Source organism: Homo sapiens, chromosome 13 (genome assembly GCF_000001405.40).
Source record: "Homo sapiens chromosome 13, GRCh38.p14 Primary Assembly".
Lineage (NCBI taxonomy): Eukaryota > Metazoa > Chordata > Mammalia > Primates > Hominidae > Homo > Homo sapiens.
This window is the reverse complement of record NC_000013.11, coordinates 92,129,833-92,151,753: the sequence shown is the minus strand read 5'-3', so window position 1 is coordinate 92,151,753 and position 21,921 is coordinate 92,129,833. Positions and strand designations below refer to the sequence as shown.

Sequence of the window (21,921 nt, the reverse complement as noted above, 5' to 3'; positions counted from 1 at the left end):
CATCACCAAATGGAAGAGTTGATAAATGTGAAACATTTCTGCTGAGATACCAGAGGTACTATTTCAAAATAGAAGTATCCTTAAAGAAAGTATAACCTGAGAGCGTCAGGCCCTGCAAAAGGATGGAAGTGGTTCTACTTTGGTGTTAAGAAGTAAACCTCATGCTAAAAATAATCAGAGACTGATACCAAAGTTCATACAGAATCAGCCACCATTACTGGCCTAAGTGTTACAGTTCCAAATGTCCTTAATCATATGATGCCTTCTTATAATGCTAATATACGGTGTTTTAAAAAATTTCATCATGCTTTAATAGAGAGTATTTTAGAGATACAAATAAAGACTGTAATAAAAAAGTGTACATTTTTGCTCTTCATAATGTGGTCCTATGGACCAAGGAATAGTAACATCATCTGTAGGCGGGTAAGAAATGCTCCACCCTCAGATTTCCTGTATTATACTCTACTTTGTAAGCAGAGTCCCAGGTAATTTATATGTATGAGAAAGTTTGAGAGGCTCTGGGATCAGCTCAAATACTCTTTTTAAAAATTATTTCTACTTAGTAAGCTCTCAATTTTCTGTTCAATAATAAGAAAATGACTACTTCCACACAGTTAGAGGGACTGAAGTCATTAAAGACCCGAAGATATACCTAATTTCTTTCTACCAGATGCACTTTATCAATCCCGAGACAGAATATCGCCATTTCAATAGCCACTCTGTTTATTCACAACAAAATGACATCAAAAATAGACCTAGATAAGAATGGGTTTGTTTCTGGTTTTGTTGATAGCTATATGACTTTGGCTAAGTCATGAGAAAATTTACCTGATAATATTTGCTTGAATTTTTTTTTTTTTTTACTTCCTCTATTGATCATATAGTTACACTTAGCATTGTGTTGTTCAAAAAAGACCACAACTTCTCATTTTATGTTCTCTGGCGTGGGATAGATTTAGTTATGACATATTACAGAACAGCTGAGTGATCTGAAATGCAAGCTAGGAGGGCTCCTCTAAGCCTTAATTAATAAGTCATCCCTCTTCACCTCAGTGATTTAACATCAGTCTAAGCCAATGCAATGAAAATAATCACTTAGGCATTCAAGGACAAACCTTTTACTTCAATTCTACTATTTAAATATATTAATACATAACTTTTCAAAAGAATGAAAGATGATTTTATATGATTCATTAGGTATCTACATTCCATTATACAATATTGTTAACAAAATAGCAGGCAGTCAGGATGAGTATCAATTATTTAGAAACCAAAATGGAAATGTATAATCAGAAAAATATTCATAGTGATCACATATTAAACTATGTTTATCTTAGACATATATTTCATTTCTCTTTAGTATAATTTTCATCAGTACTACCAAAACTGCACTAGATGGTAATTTCAAAGTATTTACAATTTTGAACATTAAACTGGATTTGCAAGTGTTTATTTGTGAATTTTTCTATGGTTTTATCATGCAGGGTTTTATCTGACCTTTAGAATTAGGTACTTGTAAAGTGTAGATCAAAGTGTGCAATCATTACTCAAGATTACTTTCAATGTCTTGCAAAGGTTTTAATCTAATGAACCTTCCAAAGATTATTTTTAGTATGAATGGATAAATGATAAGCCTTATTGAAAAAATAGTTATTTTCAGTAAATTTTTCTTATATTTGAAAAAATATTAATGGGTTATTTTTCAACAGTTTACAAAGTAAGCTGAATATATTTTATTTTGATTAAATTTGGTGAAACTTTAATTTTAGAAAGAATATGCATAATCAATAAACATATTTTAAAGTATAATCATATAGTATAATGGCATTCAAATCTTATAGGCATATGTGTTTGAACTCATATTGATAGGAAAAAAATCAATGAGACTACATAACATTTTATAAAATAGTATCTGCAATATGAATAAATACATAGTTTTCCTAGTTCTGGAAAGAAAGTAACATCTTTTTAAGGTCTCCTTAACTTCCACACCTACCTGAGACTTTTGAAGTGAAGGTGATTTATGGTGAAAATAAATATGAGGAAGCCAAGAACTTTTGCTCACTCTACAATCTTGCATTACTAAATAAATCACCTTCCCTTATTCTTCAGCGGCTAGTAAAGTGTAATTTTCATTTTGCTCTGTGCACAGAATATACTATTCTCTTTCCTAGGTCATTCTTAGTACGCTGACATGGATACATTTGTTAGAGGCAGATACAAAGTTACCATGTGAGAAAACCAAAACACAACACAAACAATAGTTCTATTTATTTTACTCTAATCAACCAAAAATTCTAGATCTAGCAATTTAATATTGCAATGTATTATCCTACTATTTCTAAATTAATCATATTTAAGTCAGATACTTTCTGTTCCAATAAGCCTACCTCCTACCTCCTAAGGTATTACACTGGGAAATGCTTTATGAACTGGATAGTGCTATCAGAGGCAGGGAACCTTATTATTTTCATAATTACGATTCAGTAAGGAGTCTGTGGGAAAAGGGCTAGTTGTCAATAGACATGATAAAAGGTTTGAGAACTGAATTCTGGAATCCTCAAATATTTAGAATGTGGAATGATGAGGAGAAGCCCAGCAAAATAAATCCAAAGATTGAAAACCACCTTACTTTTTAAAAGTGTCTGGTATCTGGTTCTAGTTGTGATCAGATGCATTTTCCCTCGATTACCACTGTGAACCAGCTTGCCAAAATGAATTTGATCATGGATTATGTATTACTTACTTTTTATAAGTAATTATTGTGATTTAAATCATAAGATCACATAAGAATTGTAAACAATGCCACCACAAATTTTCAAAATTATATGTAGAATAATTTTGCTACAAGTTGTTTTTAGTAGTTCTGCTTTTCAACATTTGAAGCTATCCAGATTTAGAGACCTAAGAAGTATAGTCAGATATTTCAAGAAGTATAGATTTTAATATTAGATTCGTTCTGCATGGCCAAAAGAAGAGAATTATTTTTTCCAGTTGTGTTTAGAACCTTCATCAGTTAGCTACTGTGAAAGAATGGCAGGTGTCAGGCAAGGGGTGAGGCGACTTTTAAGTTCAAAGCCATTCCAATCCTGCAACCCCAGGTTACTAGTGAACTATCTATATCTATGTAAATGAACCAAATACATATAATAAAAATGTGGACAAATTTTCCTAATGGGATTTTTAAGCCATTCTACTGAAATCAGTTACTTAAGAGTGAAAATTACATAGTATAGATGGCTTCTTTCTTTGAGAAACATTAGTTAACATTTAATTATAATGTATAGGTGGGATTACAAATAGAAATTATTTAGAAAGCAGTAAGATGGTTAAATAAGTTGATAACATTGGTGATGAAGACAAAATGACACCTAAAAGGTACGCAAATATTTTGGTGGTAAAACTTTGCATATTGAAATATAGAGACCCCTCTGTCATCTGATATAAACATGAACAAAAACAGACACAGAAAATCAGTTCAAGTAATAATTAGCAAAATATTTACCAACTTTTTTCATTTGCATAAATAGGGCAGAATCATGAAATTTCAAAGATACAATATTAGTATTAATACTCACAACTATATATAGTTATATGTAGATATATACACATATATAACTTTAAATTTAGTCAGACTTTTTATGGTAACAAATGAACTGTGTGCTATTTATGTCATATTTTCCAAAGAATAAATGAAAGCGTAATGAAGAAATAGTGGTGCATTTCAAGTTCTTAACACAGATGACACCTTGTTAAACTTTTTAGATCACAATATTTTGAAGTCATTAAGACCATCTAAAACTATGCCTTAACTTGCTTTACCAATATATTCAAACTGGGCCAAAACGGGCAAAATACTAGAGTGCTTTATAAAAATAGAAATGTGACCTACACTTCGCTCCTTTCCTCGTCCCTCTTTACTTCAGCATGCTATCCCGCAGTGGTTTTCTAACCACTTATTAAAAATTGAAAGGCAACAGCTATAAACTCGTAGAAACATAAGAGGCAACCCACTTAGAGCAGATGTGGATTTTCAGAAAATGCTTGCCTGGAGTTGCTGAAAAATCATCTCTCTTAAATCGCCCAAATTCTGATGGGTAGCTGCTTGTACCATGCCTGTCCATTTCAGCAGTAATTGAAACCCAGGTTTTGAAGTAAAAATTTTTGTCAACTTGTCAAGTATAGTTTTGTGAAGAAAACTATTAGTAGTTGAATATGCTTCACTGCCTCTACCTCCTTTGTGAAACAAACAAAAAAGAGTGACGTACTAATATATAACAAGTTCTTGAACTTGTAAATAACTTCATGAAGTAAAAAACTTCCTATAAATATACTATTTATACACACATATGCACACACACTCACACACAAAAAAATGCTTTACTTTGTAATAACTTTATGTTCTAAAATACTAATATTTAGATGGCCATGCAATTATAGTACAAATAAATACTCCAGATAGGATGAAAATGAAAGATTATTAAATACTGCCCTGATGGATAAGTGTTATAATTCCTAAATACAGTGGAAGATATTTTAGCTTTTAGTAAAAAAAAAATTGTTTCTAGTGAAAACCCTTTTTCATTTTCTTTCACCTCACATAAATTATAATTTGCTATTTGACCATGATAAAAATGTAATAAAGTAAAAACTTTCTTATATAATGACATAGTATCTTTTTAATGACACAATTTCATGACTTAGTAGTACTTACTCATCCTGGCTTCACGTCACGTCATTTATCAATATACAATTTATATCCATTATGCCCTAAGAGTTATTCCACTTTCAAACCTTTATAATTCTCATGAAAAGATATGGAATCAGCCCAAATGCCCATCAATCAATGAGTGGATAAAGAAACTGTGGTATATATATATATCATGGAATACTATTCAGCCATAAAGGGAATGAACTAATGGTATTCACAGCAACCTAGATGAAATTGGAGACCGTTATTCCAAGTGAAGTAACTCAGGAACAGGAAACCAAACATTGTATTTTCTCATTCATAGTGGGACCTAAGCTATGAGGATGCAAAGGCATAAGAATGATACAATGGACTTTGGGGGATTGGGGGAAACAGTGGGAGGAGGGTGACAGAAAAAAGACTACAAATTGAGTACGATGTATACTGCTCAGATGATGGATGTACCCAAATCTCACAAATCACCACTAAAGAACTTACTCATGTAACCAAACATTACCTGTTTTCCCCAAAACCTAAGGAAATTAAAAAATAATAAAATAAAACCTTTATCATTCTCAGAACTGGTGATAATTCACTAGTATTTTTTTCACAGAAAACTATAATTTTCATCAAAAGTTATTAGTCAAAAATAAACAAAACCACTAAGAATACATGCCCTAAATAAATGAAACAGTCATTTTCATTTCCAAATTCTCTTGCTAATTCCCAAATACATTGTCTTTATTTTCTTACATCCATAATAATATCTTTAATTATATTTGACTTAACCAAAGAAAGAAAAAAAGGAGAAACCAATCTGATAAGCTATATTAATACTCATAAGAACACATCTTTATCGCATTCTGTAAGAATAGAATATATTTAACTAGCACTAAGAATTTTGTGGCCTTTTGTTCAAAGGCTGCTCAAGTGCACCAATTCTCATCTATTTATTTTCCATGTTAAATAAAATGTATTACTGTGTCTAATGAGAAAACATTTCATTATGTTAACTGCCTTTTTAATTTTGCACCTCTTTTGGCTTCCATTTTTTAAACCAATATATTTGGCTTGTAAAACCAGATCTTAGAAGGAATGAGGAATTGATTTTGGAAGCATTTATCGTGCTTTTAATTCACAATGAGAGAATTATAAAGTAAATGAATTCTTCTCCCACCAAAAGGCATGTCTAATAGGTGCAAAGCAGCTCTGTGTGGTTTTGAGGGAAGCTATCAGACCAACCTCTACATATGACTGCACCTTTCCAGAAGGTGACCCCTGCCTTTGGTATAATCAAGATTACATGAATAGTTGAAACCAGCTATTCTAGGTACATCAACATTTACATTATTTCTCAGTTGGTCACTTTTGTTGTTTTGCCCATATGAACAAATGCATGCAGATAACAATGGAGTGTGGAGAACCTATATTCCTTATCTTGTATGTGATAATCAGGAAGGGAAATCTATTTGGTAATTTTTTGTTGTTATTTGAAAATTCTATCCTTTGTGGTAGCGATGAGTTCTGAAATGGTTTCAAATCCATACAATCAAAATCAATGTTTAGTGAGTTTTTTTTTTTGGAAGGGGAAATTCATAAGCATTAAATCCAAGTAGTTTTCATGATCAATAACCATATACCAATTTCTATGCAATTTGACTATGATAGAAGTGCAATAAAGTAAAAACTTTCTTATATAATGATGTAATTTTTTAATTGCACAATTTGATTATTACGTAGTACTTACCCATCCTGGTTTCACGTTATGTATCAATATACAATTAGTATCCATTATGCCTTAAGAGTTATTCCACTTTCAAACCTTCTCAGAACTGGTGATTGTTTACTAGTTTTTTTTCACAGAAAACTATCATTTCATTAGAAGTCATTAGTTAAAAATAAACAAAACCACCAAGAATGTATGTCCTAAAAAACCAAAAATAGATTCATTTCCATTTCCAATTCCTCTTGCTTGTTTTTGAATTGTCATTATTTCTTTACATCCATAACAATATCTTTAATTATATTTCAAAATCATTGTTTTAAAAAAGTGGTGTTAGAATCATACACTTACAGTCTGTGATCTTCAGTGTCCTCTTGACTTCTCCACTTCCTGATCCCCCGCAACCATCTTCATCATCACAGTCCCCACTGACTTGTTCAACCATGCCTCCACCACTGCCCAGCTGAAGAAGTTCCCACTTGTCAGGTTTGGGTGATCTACCCTGTAACAACTAATTGTACATAAAGAAAGGCCTTTACTAATAGCAAATTTGAATAACATAAGAATTCTATTCAGAAAACTTATTTAGAATTATTTTGTTATGTGGATCCACTCTTTTGGTGTAGACACCAAGTCAAGTCTTTAAGAAAAATGAAACAACTGAAATAGTAATAAATAGCGGGCAAAGTCTTACACCTATAAAGAGCTACACTCTATGTATTAGTTCTGTGGCAATGGTTTGGATGATTCTTTGGGAAGCAAATGAAATTACACCTTCTTTGCTTATGGCAGTTTGTCTAGAGGATCCTTTGTTTCTGAACAAATAATGTTTAAATATGGTAAATCAAATTCTAGTACTCCCTCTGTAGTATATTGGCTGATAATTTTGTGCTGTTTTGTAAACCCACACTCCGTATTTCTGAAGAAGTACGACTCTTCCAGAAAATGATTCTGTCTAAAGAAATCCAGAATTTTAGACATATACATTTATAGTTTCATTTAAACTTTCTTGGATCAAATACACAGTCCAATGCATATGGCACATACTGAACCTTGGGACAAAAGACTTAGGTCCTACATCCATTTCTACAAATCATTTAAGAAATTTAATGACTTCTCAGTTCTTGATTCTCAAGTATTTCATTTATTTTAATGAGCAAAACAGATGGAATAGACATTTTCCCCTACAGCACAGGAGTTCCAGTAATACTTTTGAACAACATTGGAAATTTCTGAATGTCTTTTCAGAAAGGTGATGTTATAAATAGAATATTTCACTTAAAACTAAGCCTGATTAAGATAGTCCAATGCAGTATGTTACATTTACCCCTCTAAGGTGGTTTTGGAGAGCACATGGCCAAGTGTGAGCACTAGAGGGTACTAGTATATTATGAAAAAAATGTACAACTGCTGACCACTTAGTGGTCATTTAAATTTTCACAGCACTTTATGAAAGACTTAGGGTTGTTACTTCTGTGACTTTCCAAATAATATTATCAATTAGCAGACAATAATTAAACACACAACTCAAAGACAGCATTTTATACTGAAGAACAGAGAGTCAAATAGCCTCAGGATATCTAACATAAATATGTTTATCATGTTACAAACACTTAGATTAAGTAACTGGATTGTGAAATTCACAAACTTTTAAAATTAAACAGTACAAATTTTAGGTTACCAATTCTGAAACATTAGTTTTCTAACAAAAATACTAAAACAATTTGACAGTAATTTTTAAATTCTTATTTTTATCAGCATTTTGCAAACAAAGTCAATAGGTGGCATTAAATTAAAAAGAAGTCTTCTTTCAAGATCAAGTGAACTCAGCAAATATTAAGTTAGACAAACTTTTCTACTGTGTTTAATATACTGATGTGTATACTACTCCCTGTAAAGGGAAGGGATAGTACAGCAATGAAGAAACACAGATAGGAAATAAACACATAAAAAGTCAAATCTAAAAAGGAAAGGATAAATGGTATTATTTTATACCATTATATAAATGATAAATAATGATGAATGGTAAATAAAGTAACACCAGTTATCATTTGTTATTGTGAAATATCCCATTTGTTATCTATTTAGTATAATCATAAAGGGCTTGGATTCTGAGGTCCAACATACTTCGATGTGAATCTTGGATTCTGACATATACCAACCACGAGACATGGGGTATTGAGTAAGTTACTGAATAAATCAGTTTCCTCAAATCTATAATAGGGACAATAATACACCTGGACCATTGCTCATATTGTGAGAAAAACATATGCAAAGCACTTTGCAAATATTTAATATGCCAGCACATTAAACATTAATACATTTTGATTATTATCTATTCTATTATATATTCTAGTACAATATTGTTTAAATATCCAGAACACATTAATTGAAAGAATTAGTTAAAAATGCAATTATATGATTTATAATTTTTCAAAGTATTATCAGACAAGTACAACAAAAGCCTAACTCTCTGGTGATATGCTGCTTTCTTTTGACCTCGACATTCTTTTCCAACATTTTCCCGTATCAACTTTATTTTCCCTTTACTTCCCTAAGAATTATTCCAATATTTTACTGGGATCGTGGCAAGAACACAGATGGACTCTCATTAACACCACCAACAGTGTATATGTTATGAGGATCCAGCCAGGTAAATGAACTCAAAAACACAAACAGAAAGATAATTGATTTTTAAAACCAAACTTACTATTTTAAGAAATTGATTTTGGTTGAAAGTGATTGGATATATTGTCAGAATTATTCATTTATTTGTAATTATTGTTAAATATAATGGAGGACTTAAAAAACATTTATTCTGTTTTCTCCATTTTTTTCCTCCATCACTTCAGTGACATTCTAGGAAATGTCTGAGGCACATGAACTCAAATTTTTAAGAAATAAAACTACACAAAACTATATTTTAACTATTCGTGCTAAGGAGAACAGCAAAATGGACACCAAGATTTTCCACCTTAACCCCTGGGGCTGTGAATATGATGTCAGTCGTGCCTACCAACTTACATGACAAAAGGAATTTTGCAATGTAACTGATGCCATTAATCAGTTGATTTTGAATTTACAAAAAGGGAGATGATCTGCTTGGAATAATGCAACCACATGATTTTTTTCCCTTTTTTAAAAATTATACTTTAAGTTCTAGGGTACATGTGCACAACGTGCAGGTTTGATACATAGCTATACATGTACCATGTTCGTTTGCTGCACCCATCAACTTGTCATTTATATTAGGTATTTCTCCTAATGCTATCCCTCCCACTGTCCCCCAAAGTTTCCTCTGACTATCACCAGAAGTTAGACATTCCAAGCATGAGATGTGAGGGTGAGGAGCTTGCATGCAGGGGCCCATGCTGCTGCCCTTGAGGGTGTGAGCTTGGATGATGTGATAGGGCCTATCAAAGGTCCTATGGCAAGGAACTGTACCACTAGTGGCCTCTTGGAGCTGAGAGTGACCTGCCTTGCAGCCAGCAAGGAATTGAAGTCTTCATTCCTACAACTGAGTTCTCTCAACAACCTAGACGAGCTTGGGAGCAGATTCTCCCCCTCAGCTCCCAAACTGAGTCAAGCTAGGCTGACAACCTGCTTTCAGCCTTGTGAGACCCTGAGCAGTGAGCCCACCCAGACTTCTCATCTGTGGAATAGTGAGCAGTAAATGGATGTTGTCTTGAGCTGCTACATGTGTAGTAATTTGCTATGCAGGAAGAGAAAATGAATACATGAATACACTCTCTAACCCTCAAATGGGCCACATTTACTGCTTGGCAATTGTGTTTGAAAGCTTTTGATTCTCTAGCATGTTTCTCAGAATGAGAGGTCATCATTTCTGTAAGATACCACCTTCCTGAGAAGATGGTACCCTTGGAAACAAGCTCTCAGAAAAACCTTTTCAGTTTATTTACCTCTTAATAACCCCTCTCACTATATTTCCAAGTCTCTGAGCAAGAAATATAATTGCGTGATTCAGATATATCCAGGATCCCACCCGATTCGTGATTCTCAGTCCCCAGTACTACCCTAGCCCTCTTGTAGGGTCAATATCTCCCTTTCCTTTGCATGGAGGCTCTGCCTGATCATTTTCATTTTCTCGCTTTTCAATTATCATACATCCACAATGTACACTTTCACTCTCATATTGTAATAAAACTTGATTTGCAGAAATTTCCAGTAAATTTGTAATCAACAAAAACAATGGGCTTTTCACAATAAGATCTTTATTCAAATTTTCTTTAACTACACTATCCTGATTTCTTCTTAAAAGTTTGCTTATCTTTCTCCTCACTTCCTCTCTCTTGCCTCCTCCAACATCCACATGGAAGTGTTTCAATTAATAATATAAATCCCCTACTTCTTAGTCTCTTTCTTGGAATTCATCCTAACAGATTGAGCTCTGACTTGTATACAAATTACACTCAAGTCCTTATCTGTAGCCCTTGTTTTTCTCTGTAGTTCACCTCTAAGCAGCAACTGGAAGTGAGATGAACTCTACCACTTTCTGTCTTAAAATAAAACTGCTCATCTCCACTATTCGTGTGTCATTACAGTTTATCTTCCCAGCTCCCTCATTACAGGGGCCATTAGTCTCTCCTACCCACTACCACCATATTATTTTCTTAAAATCAGTACTTTCACCGTGTCATTTTTCAGCCTTACTGCTCTCTGTGATTCTTTACTGTCAAAACCACTGGTTCCCAACATGACATGTGTCTAGAGGAGAGTTATCAATCCAAAAAGATGGGTCACAGAAAGAGTGATAAAATGTGGAAAAATGTTTGAGAAATGCATACCATGGCCGCTTCTTAATTTCCTAGAACTAAACCCTCATGAGAAATTTTGCAGGAGGCAATCTTGTCTATATGAGATTTGTCTCACAATTTCTAAATGTACCTAAGAAAATTACCCCTCTTCCCTCACTGAACATCCACTGACATGCTTTTAGAAATGACGCCAAGAAAAAAGTTCAAATTTGGCCCAGAAGTCAAGGTTCCATATTATGTATTATTTTGTTTTGCTTGTAAATTGTATCTAAACACAGCTCCCCGCTACCCAGCTTCTACTGCAGAACCATCAATCTGTTCTTCCAGAAATTGTATGACTTTATGTCTAGAATTTTGCTTATGCTTCTTTTACATTCTTCTCACTTCCAACTGCTGTTTTTCCTTCACATAGAATACACCCTTTCATTTTCTTATTTTATCTACTTAATTTTCAAATTCAAACTCAAATACCTCTTTTTCCATCCCGCACATATTTCTGTGATAATTTTAACTCTGCATCGTTTACTTGCACTTAATCCACTTTCTTGAACGTGTCATATCTTTCTGATTAGTAATAAATTTCTCAAAGGTAAGAATTCAACCTGCTTTCCATCACCTTCCATCATGACTAGAGTACTTACCACATTGTAGACGCTAAATACATCTATTTTGATTTATTTATTTGAACTTGGAAATAATTTAAGCTTACCCTGCCTTCAATGCCCTCTATATCTAATGGAATAGTGTTTTCTCTTCTCTGAAAATCATCAAAGACCCTGATGTTCTAGAAAAACTTTGGTTTTACACTTATTGACTGGCAGATGAACTGATTCATTTATTCATCCCATGAAATTAATTCAGTATATTCTAAATATAACACTTTTTTTTTTTTTTTTTTTGAGACGGAATCTCACTCTGTCACCCAGGCTGGAAAGCAATGGCGCAGTCTTGGCTCACTGCAACCTCTGCCTCCCAGGTTCAAGCAATTGTCCTGCCTAAGCCTCCCAAGTAGCTGGGACTGCAGGCGCATGCCACCATGTCTGGCTAATTTTTTGTATTTTTAGTAGACACGGGGTTTCACCATGTTAGCCAGGATGGTCTCGATCTCCTGACCTCATGATCCACCCGCCTCGGCCTCCCAAAGTGCTGGGATTACAGGCGTGAGCCACTGCGCCCAGCCATAACACGTATTTTGAAAGATAAACATCCGTATCAAAAGAGAAGGCATAGCCTTGGTTCTTAAGAAGTGATTACATACTTTATTTCAAAAATGAAATATATGACTATACAGCAAAATAAAATTGGGATAAAAAATAACCTGAAAATCAGGAAACAGGAGAGACAGTGTAAACATTTAGTTTTGTGGTCTTGCTTAATTATTTTTCTTATCGCCAATAAGGAATAATTTAAAATGACCTTATTCCTGAGTACCTGGAGACTTCTAAGTTTTTAAAACAATTTAATGTTGAAGAATCATACCAAGAAATACTTCCAACATATATTTGTGTTGCCATCCTAGTTACTATAAACCAGAGAAAAATGTTCTAATTACCCTTTTTAATATGTACAAAAATGCTTCATTATAAATCTGGAATATAGGAATATTTTCAAAAATGGATTTTTGCAAAAAGTCTGTTATTTTTTTTTTCCCCTGCAGCAGGGACAGAACTGTAGCTTCATGATCTGAGATATCAGGTAAGGAAGTCCTCCCCTATTCTTTCTCAAGGGATAGGCTGTTTATATTCCTCTCCTCCAATCCCTCAGAGACAGCATCAAATAACTCCCCTATGCTCTGTGCTGTGTTGGCTCCATCCTCGGGGCAAGTGTTATTATTTCACATCTTACTCTTAAATCGCTTTCAAGAAATAGACATAGTTTCCACCAAAGAGGAGCCCTTCCCAACAAACCTTTAATAACAACAAAGGGTTTCCATATATGCACCCTTAAGCGAACATACACAAATGAAATGAATCTACAGATTGATAATGAAGCCAGTATTTTTATTTTTATTTTTATTTTTTTTTATTTTTTATTTTTTATTTTTTTGAGATGGAGTCTGGCTCTGTCACCCAGCCTGGAGCGCAGCGGTGTGATCTCGGCTCACTGCAACCTCCGCCTCCCGGGTTCAAGCAATTCTCCTGTGTCAGCCTACCGAGTAGCTGGGACAACAGGTGCACACCACCACGCCCAGGTAATTTTTGTATTTTTAGTAGAGACAGGGCTTCACCATTTTTTGCCAGGATGATTTCGATCTCTTGGCCTAGTGATCTGCCCACCTTGGCATCCCAAAGTGCTGGGATTATAGGTGTGAGCCACTGCGCCTGGCCAAGAAGCCAGTTTTTATAAGTGACACATGAATATCAATCGTATTAGACACACTCCTGCCACATACTTTAACAAATCTCTCATTTTTACCACATACATGAATAGCTGTCCCATATATTCATACAAGATGATTTTCTTGATTAATAAACTTCATTTTTTAGAGTAGTTTTAGGTTCACAGCAAAATTGAGTGGAAAGTAGAAGAGTTCCCATAGACTCCCTACTCCCAACACACACACAGCTTCCCCCACTGTCAACATCCTGCACCAGAATGATGCATTTTTTATAATAGGTGAACCTAAACTGACACGTCACCATCACCCAGAATCCATAGTTTACATTAGGGTTTGATAAAATAATTTTTTAAAACTTAAAACCCCAACAAACTTGACATTACTTCTCTGGGCCACACATTTTCTGCATTAGTAAATGGAATACGAATATTTATCTGGAGCTGGGAGTGGTAGGGCATGCCTGCCGTCTCAGCTTCTTGGGAGGCGAGGTGGGAGGATTGCTTAAGCCCAGGAGGTGGACAATGCAGTGAACCATGATTGCATCACTGCACTAAAGCCTGGGCAGCAGAGTGAAACTGTCTCAAACAAAATGAAACAAAATAAAACAAAGACAACAAAAAGGTAATATTTATTTGGAAGGTTTTGTGAGTATTATTTGAGATACATTATGAAAAATGCTAGCACATTATGAGTATTCAGTTATGGTTAGTTAACTTTATCATTAAGATCGTTATAACCAGTAGGAGCTGACACTGCTACCCCAATCCTGTATTGGAGGAGAGAACCCATATGGGAGTAACATTAACTGGCTCCCCACTCTGCCTTGACTCTGTCATTTGCGTCTACCTAATTATAAAATAAACAGTGTTTCAAGTTTTGAACTTATTCCCTGTCATGGTGGGTACAAAGTCAATCACTACACCTGTAGTTATAGAACAATTAGAACAGAGGAAAAGACACAATTTTGAATTCCAGCCACACATTAATTGTGTGCCTTTAGGCAAATCACTTAAGCTTGTTAAATTCAATTTATTCTACTGAATAATAATACATGGGAAAGCACTTTATATACTTGAACGAACTATGCTCATTTACAGGGTTCTGCGCATGACACTGCATCCGTAAAACTGAGAAACCAACAAAGTGAGGACAGGATGAAAAAAAAAAACAACTTTCGGAACGTGCTTCCTTTCCTCAATGCCATGCAGTTTGTGCAGTCAGCTGATTAGCCAAAAATAGTTTTGATGACTGATGCTTCCTGCTTATGTTTAGTTGGTTTAGGAAGCTCATTAGGGATGCTATCTTGGAGATGAGTCTGGTGGGTAGAATATCTGATGACTCTTAAGCAAATGTACTTCTTTCAGCTGGTGAATTAATTTCTCAATAGAATCAGTTTGCTTTTTACTAACTGTCTGGCAATATCCCATATTTGCTATAGCCTTTCAAACACTTGCAATAAGATCTGGCTCACACATACAACCTGTTAGTGGTGAAAGAGAAACATTCATCATATTCAAATATCTCCAAACATGAGAGCAGATGAATATGCTTTAAGACAGTATACATAATGATACATCTCCATTTTTCCCTTCCTCTTACGATCATTTACACAGATATATGAGAAGTAAATATGTGTTTAGAAAGTATTAGTCATCATAGATGTACCTCTAGTCACCCATTCAAATGTAAACATGGTAAAATATGCACTTGTACACTTTTATACTATAATGAGTATAGGTAGGTGAAAATTAGTGTTGCCAGAAAAAATTCAAACCAGAAAACTGAAGGTATAGAAAAATTATACTTTTTATTTTGTGATTGATAAACCATCTTTAAATAATATATCATGTATAGAATAAAAAATTATGGATATATACATGCAATTATAAATATATGTGAATTTAATTTTGTTAAAAGGTAATTGGCATCTGCAATTTCATGGAGACTAAGTGAAACCCATAAGGAAATGTGTATGAAATAGGAAAGCAACAAAAGCTCGTAATATTTTAAAATTAGAAATCAGATTCAAAATCCATCATGATCTATTTTAAATTTATCTCTACAACATATTTCAATTGAGACACAAAACAGACTTTATATAACATGACTCACTATTTAGAGCATAATTCCCTTTCCCCAATCCCCAAACTATGTTTCCATCTACACGCCACTCCACCCAACTCTCACCTCTTCCATTAGCATGATTACAAACATATTTTACAAATCTTATACCAAACTTTTCTACTGTCTCTTTCAAATGTAGAAATACCGTGTACATAAACCCAAATACCACAAATCTTCACATTTATATTTTCTAAAGCAGTTAAACCTTTATAGACAATTCTACCTAAAAAGCCGAACGCGCTTTACAATGTGTCATGTTATGTTAAGTTGACCAGACACCGAAGTCATTTCTGTCGGATTTCTTGTCAGTGTTTGCTTTTAAAGTTTGAACTTTCTGATCTCGGCTCCTGTTGTGCCAGTAATTTGAAAGGTCACTGCTCTGTTGGCATTTGGTTTATGCAATGCAGTCTGGCAATTTATAAAAGTCTTGTGAATTTGTACACAGAATATTGAAGTTAGAAAAGGCTTATCACTCTCTTGGCTCTAATACTGCCCAGAGGTTATTTGTTCTTTTTCCCATAAGAAAATCCTGTATGTCTCTCCATTACCATTCCTGATCCTTACCTCCGGTTCAAAATGTGGCCAGTTCCACCTTCTAAGCCCTCATACCAAAATTGACTGGGTAGGTTTATTATGAATTTGTGTCGTTGTCCAAACTCTACATTAGACCTCCCAGGAGAGTTCAAACTAAAAACTAACGAGTAAGTGAAATATTACAATTGAAACAGGGGAGAAAACATAACCTCAAGTAGGACTCAGAAAAATCGTGGGACCAAAAGAGGAAGAGTACACGCCAAATGTTCTCAATTCTGAAATGGCTCTTGTGAAACATCTATATGAAAACACTTCAAGGACCTGAAAAAAATTTGTGAAAAAGCAAACAACCTGCCTTGCAAAACAACTCCAGAGTTAATGTCAGAGCTTTCTATCAAAACATCCATGTTAAGTTCACTGGAAAGATTCAGAAGATCAATGACAGGAGTAAGGGAAAAAAACAAGGACATTTTGTGAGTAAGCAATGTATAATGACCCTGCAGCAGGAGAACCAGAGAGGGGGGAAAAGGAAATGGAGGGTATAAGTAAATTAATTGCCTCTAACATGTTTAATGAAATAATTAGATGTGTGACGCAAATTTCTTAATAGTCAAACATTATGCAGTATGTGATGCATAAGAATTATACTACCCCAATTTTTTTAAATGTAAGATTTTCTTGATGCCACTTTCATTTGCCCACACACACACGAATGGCACAAATCACATATACATATACTGACACGAAAATGTATATGTGGGAGGGAGAGAAAGAGGCAAGAAAACTTTCATCATGATACATTGCCAATATAAGAACTCCCTTTTAGAAAGATATTTTATTCAACTTATCAAAATTGTAATTGCCAATGGAACAGAAACCATCACAAATAAGAACTTGTAACTGACCCAGGTACAAGTGAATTTCTATGACTGAAATCCAGGGGCATTCTAAGCAAAAATAGTTCAACAGTAACTAATCTCATTATTTTTCAATTTTATTAAGTCCTATTTATTATATTTATAGTGTGGTTTCTCATCAAGGAGTTGCTTATTGAACATGCCAAAAGCCTTCATCTCTTTAACTAGGTCTTTATATGCATAGGGAATGTTTAAATATCCACAAAAGTAATACAAACTAACACTTTTTACATTTTAACGTATATATTTGAAGATATGTTTTCCCCAAATGTACAGTTCTTCGTGGCCTGGATTGCCTCAGGAAACTGCCTTTGCCTGTTGTGGGTATCATGACAAGTAAGGGCACTGGTAATTCACTGTGAGAAAATGCCTAGCTGTTTGCCTGGTTATGCCATGTCATCTTCCAAACACTACAGAGCACAGTAACCTAATTTTCAAAATCAAAGACAGAACAAAACTGAACAGCTACTGTTCCTGAGGCAAACAAGTGAATAAATTCCAAAATATGCCATGAACTCATTGAAGATGAATTTTAGACAATTCTACATTGCCTGTTGAATCAGCATTCTATTAACCACACTCTACAGAAGTGAAGCCAACCCATACTACCAAGAGTGTATTAATTTTGCATGCATTTCCCAGTAAGCAATGTAGACAGTATTAATGTCTATATTGCCAAGGTAATAGTTTTCGTCCCTCAACTCATCTGCTAAATTTTGCCTCACCTGGCTCAGTCAGAAGGCACAGAATTGACAATACTAACTAATCTCAGTTATCTCCACGGACAGAAAAAAACATGTATTTTCTACATGGACTGCGGGAATCAGCATTTTCTGTTCTTAACTTAGATTTTTTTCCCTTGCCTTTTCGCTTTATGACCCCAATGTACTGATGTATTTCTAACACTACAACAAGATTTGTGTCACTCAACTCTGTGTGTTGTAATCATTGTCTTTTAACCATTTATCTCCATGAGACTGATGTCATTGAAAGATAGAAAAGAAACAAAAAGCATAGAAGGGAGAGAGGGAGGGAGGAAGACTTTAATCATGATACAATGCCAAAGTAAGGGCTCCTTTTAAGAAAGATTTTAAAAACTTTCTTCATCAAAATTTCCATTGCCTCCTTGAATGAACTGTGAAGGATTGCAAATTCCTTTAAAACTTGGTTTTGGCAACAAATCTGGATTTCCTTCATTAGCCAGCTATGCAGAATTCATTTTCAAATGCTCTATTAAAAAGGGAAGTTTCCCCTAAAGTTTCCCAGTCTATTAAAGGTTTCCTTCCAAAAGGAGCTCATTCTGATCCCATTTAGTACGACACCCTCGTGTACGCCAGATGGCACAGCATCATAGCTTCACAAATGTCATTCTGATTCTCACCTTTAAAATGAAATTCCCTTAAGCTACCTTTCTTTACATAAACTACAAAATTGTAGACAAAGATATGCCAAATTGAAAGCCTCTTTTGCTAAATATTCTAGAAATAATTTGAGAAAAATGGGTGCCATTTGAAACCTTAGTTGTCTTGGAAAGGGGGTAGGTGGGTATTTGACTACGATTCTGGTCAATATTTCTCCTGTTAACTATTTAAATGTGTGACCTTAAAAGAAAATCAATCTTGTTGAGACTAATAAATGTCTCATCCAAAAAAAAATGAGGAGCTTAAAATTTCTTATGTGTCTTATAGCTCAAAAATTTTCAATTCTAATATGTCTCAAGCCATTGTAACATTTGCTTTAGAAATAGGTATTATATAATCAAGCCATATTGCAGGCCTCTGTGATATTTATTTCAATTTCATTCCATTTTAGGCTAATTTTGGGATTTTAAAAATTGAATTATATGTTATGGGTTGAAATATGTTTTTCCCCAAAATATATGCTAATGTCCTAACCCCCAATACTTCAGAATGTGACTTTAGAAATAGGGTCTTTACAGAGGTAATCAAGTTTAAATGGAATCATTAGGGTGGGCCCTAATCCAATATTACTAGTATTCTTATAAAAAGGGGAAAATTGAACACAGAGGAATACGCACAGAGGGAAGACTATACGGAGACACAAAGAATATGCCACGTGTAGTCAGAGACTGGGCGGACACACCTGTAAACTCAGGTATACCAGTGATTTCCAGCAAACCACCAGAACCTGCAAGAGATTCAGGAAACACAGACAGCCTCCCTCATATCCTTCTGGAGGAAACTACCTTGACTACATCTTGTTTTCAGACTTCAAGCTTCCCAAACTGTGACACAATAAATTTTTGGTGTTTTAAGCAACCCAGTTTGTGGTACCCTGGAGAATAGCTCCCACAAATGAATACATTGTTATAGACTAAAAAGTGCATAAATCATACATGTACGATTTTCACAATCTTTCAATATAGTCTCAGTCATGTGACCATCATAAACAAGAGCACCTCAGAAGCCTCTTTTATGCCTCATTAATTTTCTTCCACCAAATATAACACTCTTTTGACTTCCTCTACCATAGCTTCATTTTTTCCTGAGGAAATTTATATGAATACAAGCATATTTGTGACATCACAGATGTAGCAACGGTTCTTTAATTGCTGTATTTTATTCTATTATATCAATGATCCAATAAAATATGTTTACATTCTGCCCTTGGTGGACAATTGAACTGTTTTGAGTGTATGGATATAAAAATAATATTGTAATAAAAGTCTTTTGGTGTAAAAAATTCCCAGTTATATCTGTTGGGTATATACTTAAGTGTATAATGGTGGGTCATAGATAGGCAAAATGTGCTTTATTAATCTACTTATTTTTCTTCTTTTAAATATTAATATATAATTTACACGTAACAGAGTATACAGATCTTAAGTATACTCCTTATTGAATTTTCACATAGGTTCATATACATGGAAAAACTTAGATAAAAAAAATCATCTTAGAAATACCCCATAAACCTTCTTGCCATCTCAGTCAATAACCACAACCCAAAAAAAGGTAACTCCTATACTGACCTCTGTTTACATAGATTCATTCCATTAATAATGTTAATAGGCTATTAATGAGCTTCATAAAAATAGTATCATGCAGTATACATGCTCCTGCATATGACTGATTTTATTCAACATTAGGTTTTAAACATTTATGAGATTCTTATATATACCTATAGTTCATACTTTATAATTTTAATAGGGGTATTCCATTTTATAAATATATAACTGTGTTATTAGATGATTCACCTGTTTCTAATTTTGGGCTACTATAAATAACGCTAATTGAATATCTTATACATATCTTTTGATAGACTGACATAGACTGAAGTACTCAATGATCTTGAATATATACATCCAGGAGTGGAATTGCTGGGTCAAAAGGTACATATACATTTAACTTTAGTAGATATCGCCAAACAAATTTTCAATATGGTTTTTCAGATTTACATTCACATAACAGTCTATAAGAGTGGTAGTTATTCCACACCTTCTGAAACCCTTGATATTATCGGTCATTTTAATTTTGGGTATTTAGTGGGTATATAGTGGTGTTTAAGGCCGTTTTAATTTGCATTTCTGAGCAATTAATGATTTTCTTAGGCTTTTAGGTTTTTAAATATCTGCTAATAAAGTGCCTATTCAAGTCATTAGTCCATTAAAAAATAGATTTTCTGAATTTTTCAAATTGATTTTTAAGAGTTCTTTATTAATTCTGGATTTAATCTTCTGTTTCTGTTTTTTTACTATCTTTTTCTTATTTTTTGCCATTTTTAGAATAATTATTTATTTTTCATCTTATTAAAATACTTGTAATTCCTTTTCAGTACTTTATCTACATAATCCATTATTTATTCTAGACTATTGTGGACTACCTTAATTAGCACTTTTTCCACTTCTCCAACAATATAAGGACCTTAGGACAGTTAAACACTATTTGGCTACTCCCACTCTTTGTTGTCATATATTTTATACAACATTTAAACTTTCTAAAAGACAAGTTAATTATATTTATCCTTACTTCTCATGTTTATTTGCATGGCGAATATTCCTTATAAATTACTTTTCTTACAACATCTTTCAGATTTTTGTGTCAATGATTACTGGCTTCCCACAAAAAATTAAGTGTTCTTTCTTTTGTATTATTTCCTGAAAATGCTTGTGTAAGCCTAGTCCAATTAGTTCCTTAAGTTTTGGTAAGAATTCACCAGCTAATCCACATGTGGTTGGAATTGTGTGTGTGTGTGTTTGTAAAATGTGTTAATCATATAGTTTCTATAACAGATACAGAACTTACTCAGATTTTTAGAACTTCTTGTGCCAATATTTTAAGACTTTTTTTTTTTTTCAGTTAACATCATTGCTTCCTCTAATTGCATGCTTCTAGCTGGGATAATTTTTTCTTAGTCCGAAGAACTTTCCTTAGTATTTCTGTAGTTCGGGTCTCCTAGGCAAACATTCTCTCAACAATTACTTGTCTAAATATATTTTACTGTGTCTCACTTTTGTGTTTTTCACTGGTTATTAAATTTTAGACTGGCAAATTTGCCCCTCAGCATGTTAAAATGCCATTTCATTGTCTCCAGCTTCCAGAGTTTTTCTTGGAATACTTATCTGTGCTCTTTTACTTACTTTTGAGGCTTTTGTTTTAGTTCAGCAGCTTATAATCTAGTCAGGTAAGGTTTTATTTGTATTATGTTCCTTAGGTTTTGTTAACTTTCTTGCAAGTAGGTTAATATTCTTTATCAATTTTACAAAATTTTTGACCAACGGCTCTTCTGATATTGCTTATTCTCTATTCTCTCTCACTTGTCTTTATGTCCAATTCAGTTATAGTAGATGTTTTGACTGTGCC

General features: G+C 33.8%; 1 protein-coding gene across 2 annotated transcripts in view; it reads right to left on the bottom strand.

Annotated features, from left to right (window-relative positions):
• GPC5 (glypican 5) overlaps nt 1–21,921 on the bottom strand; it is a 1,468,617-nt gene that overhangs the window by 715,484 nt on the left and 731,212 nt on the right. For both annotated transcript variants that reach the window (NM_004466.6, XM_017020435.3), the window contains exon 7: nt 6,765–6,924. In NM_004466.6, coding sequence (NP_004457.1) covers nt 6,765–6,924 — 160 coding nt within the window. The remainder of the gene's footprint in view (nt 1–6,764; nt 6,925–21,921) is intronic.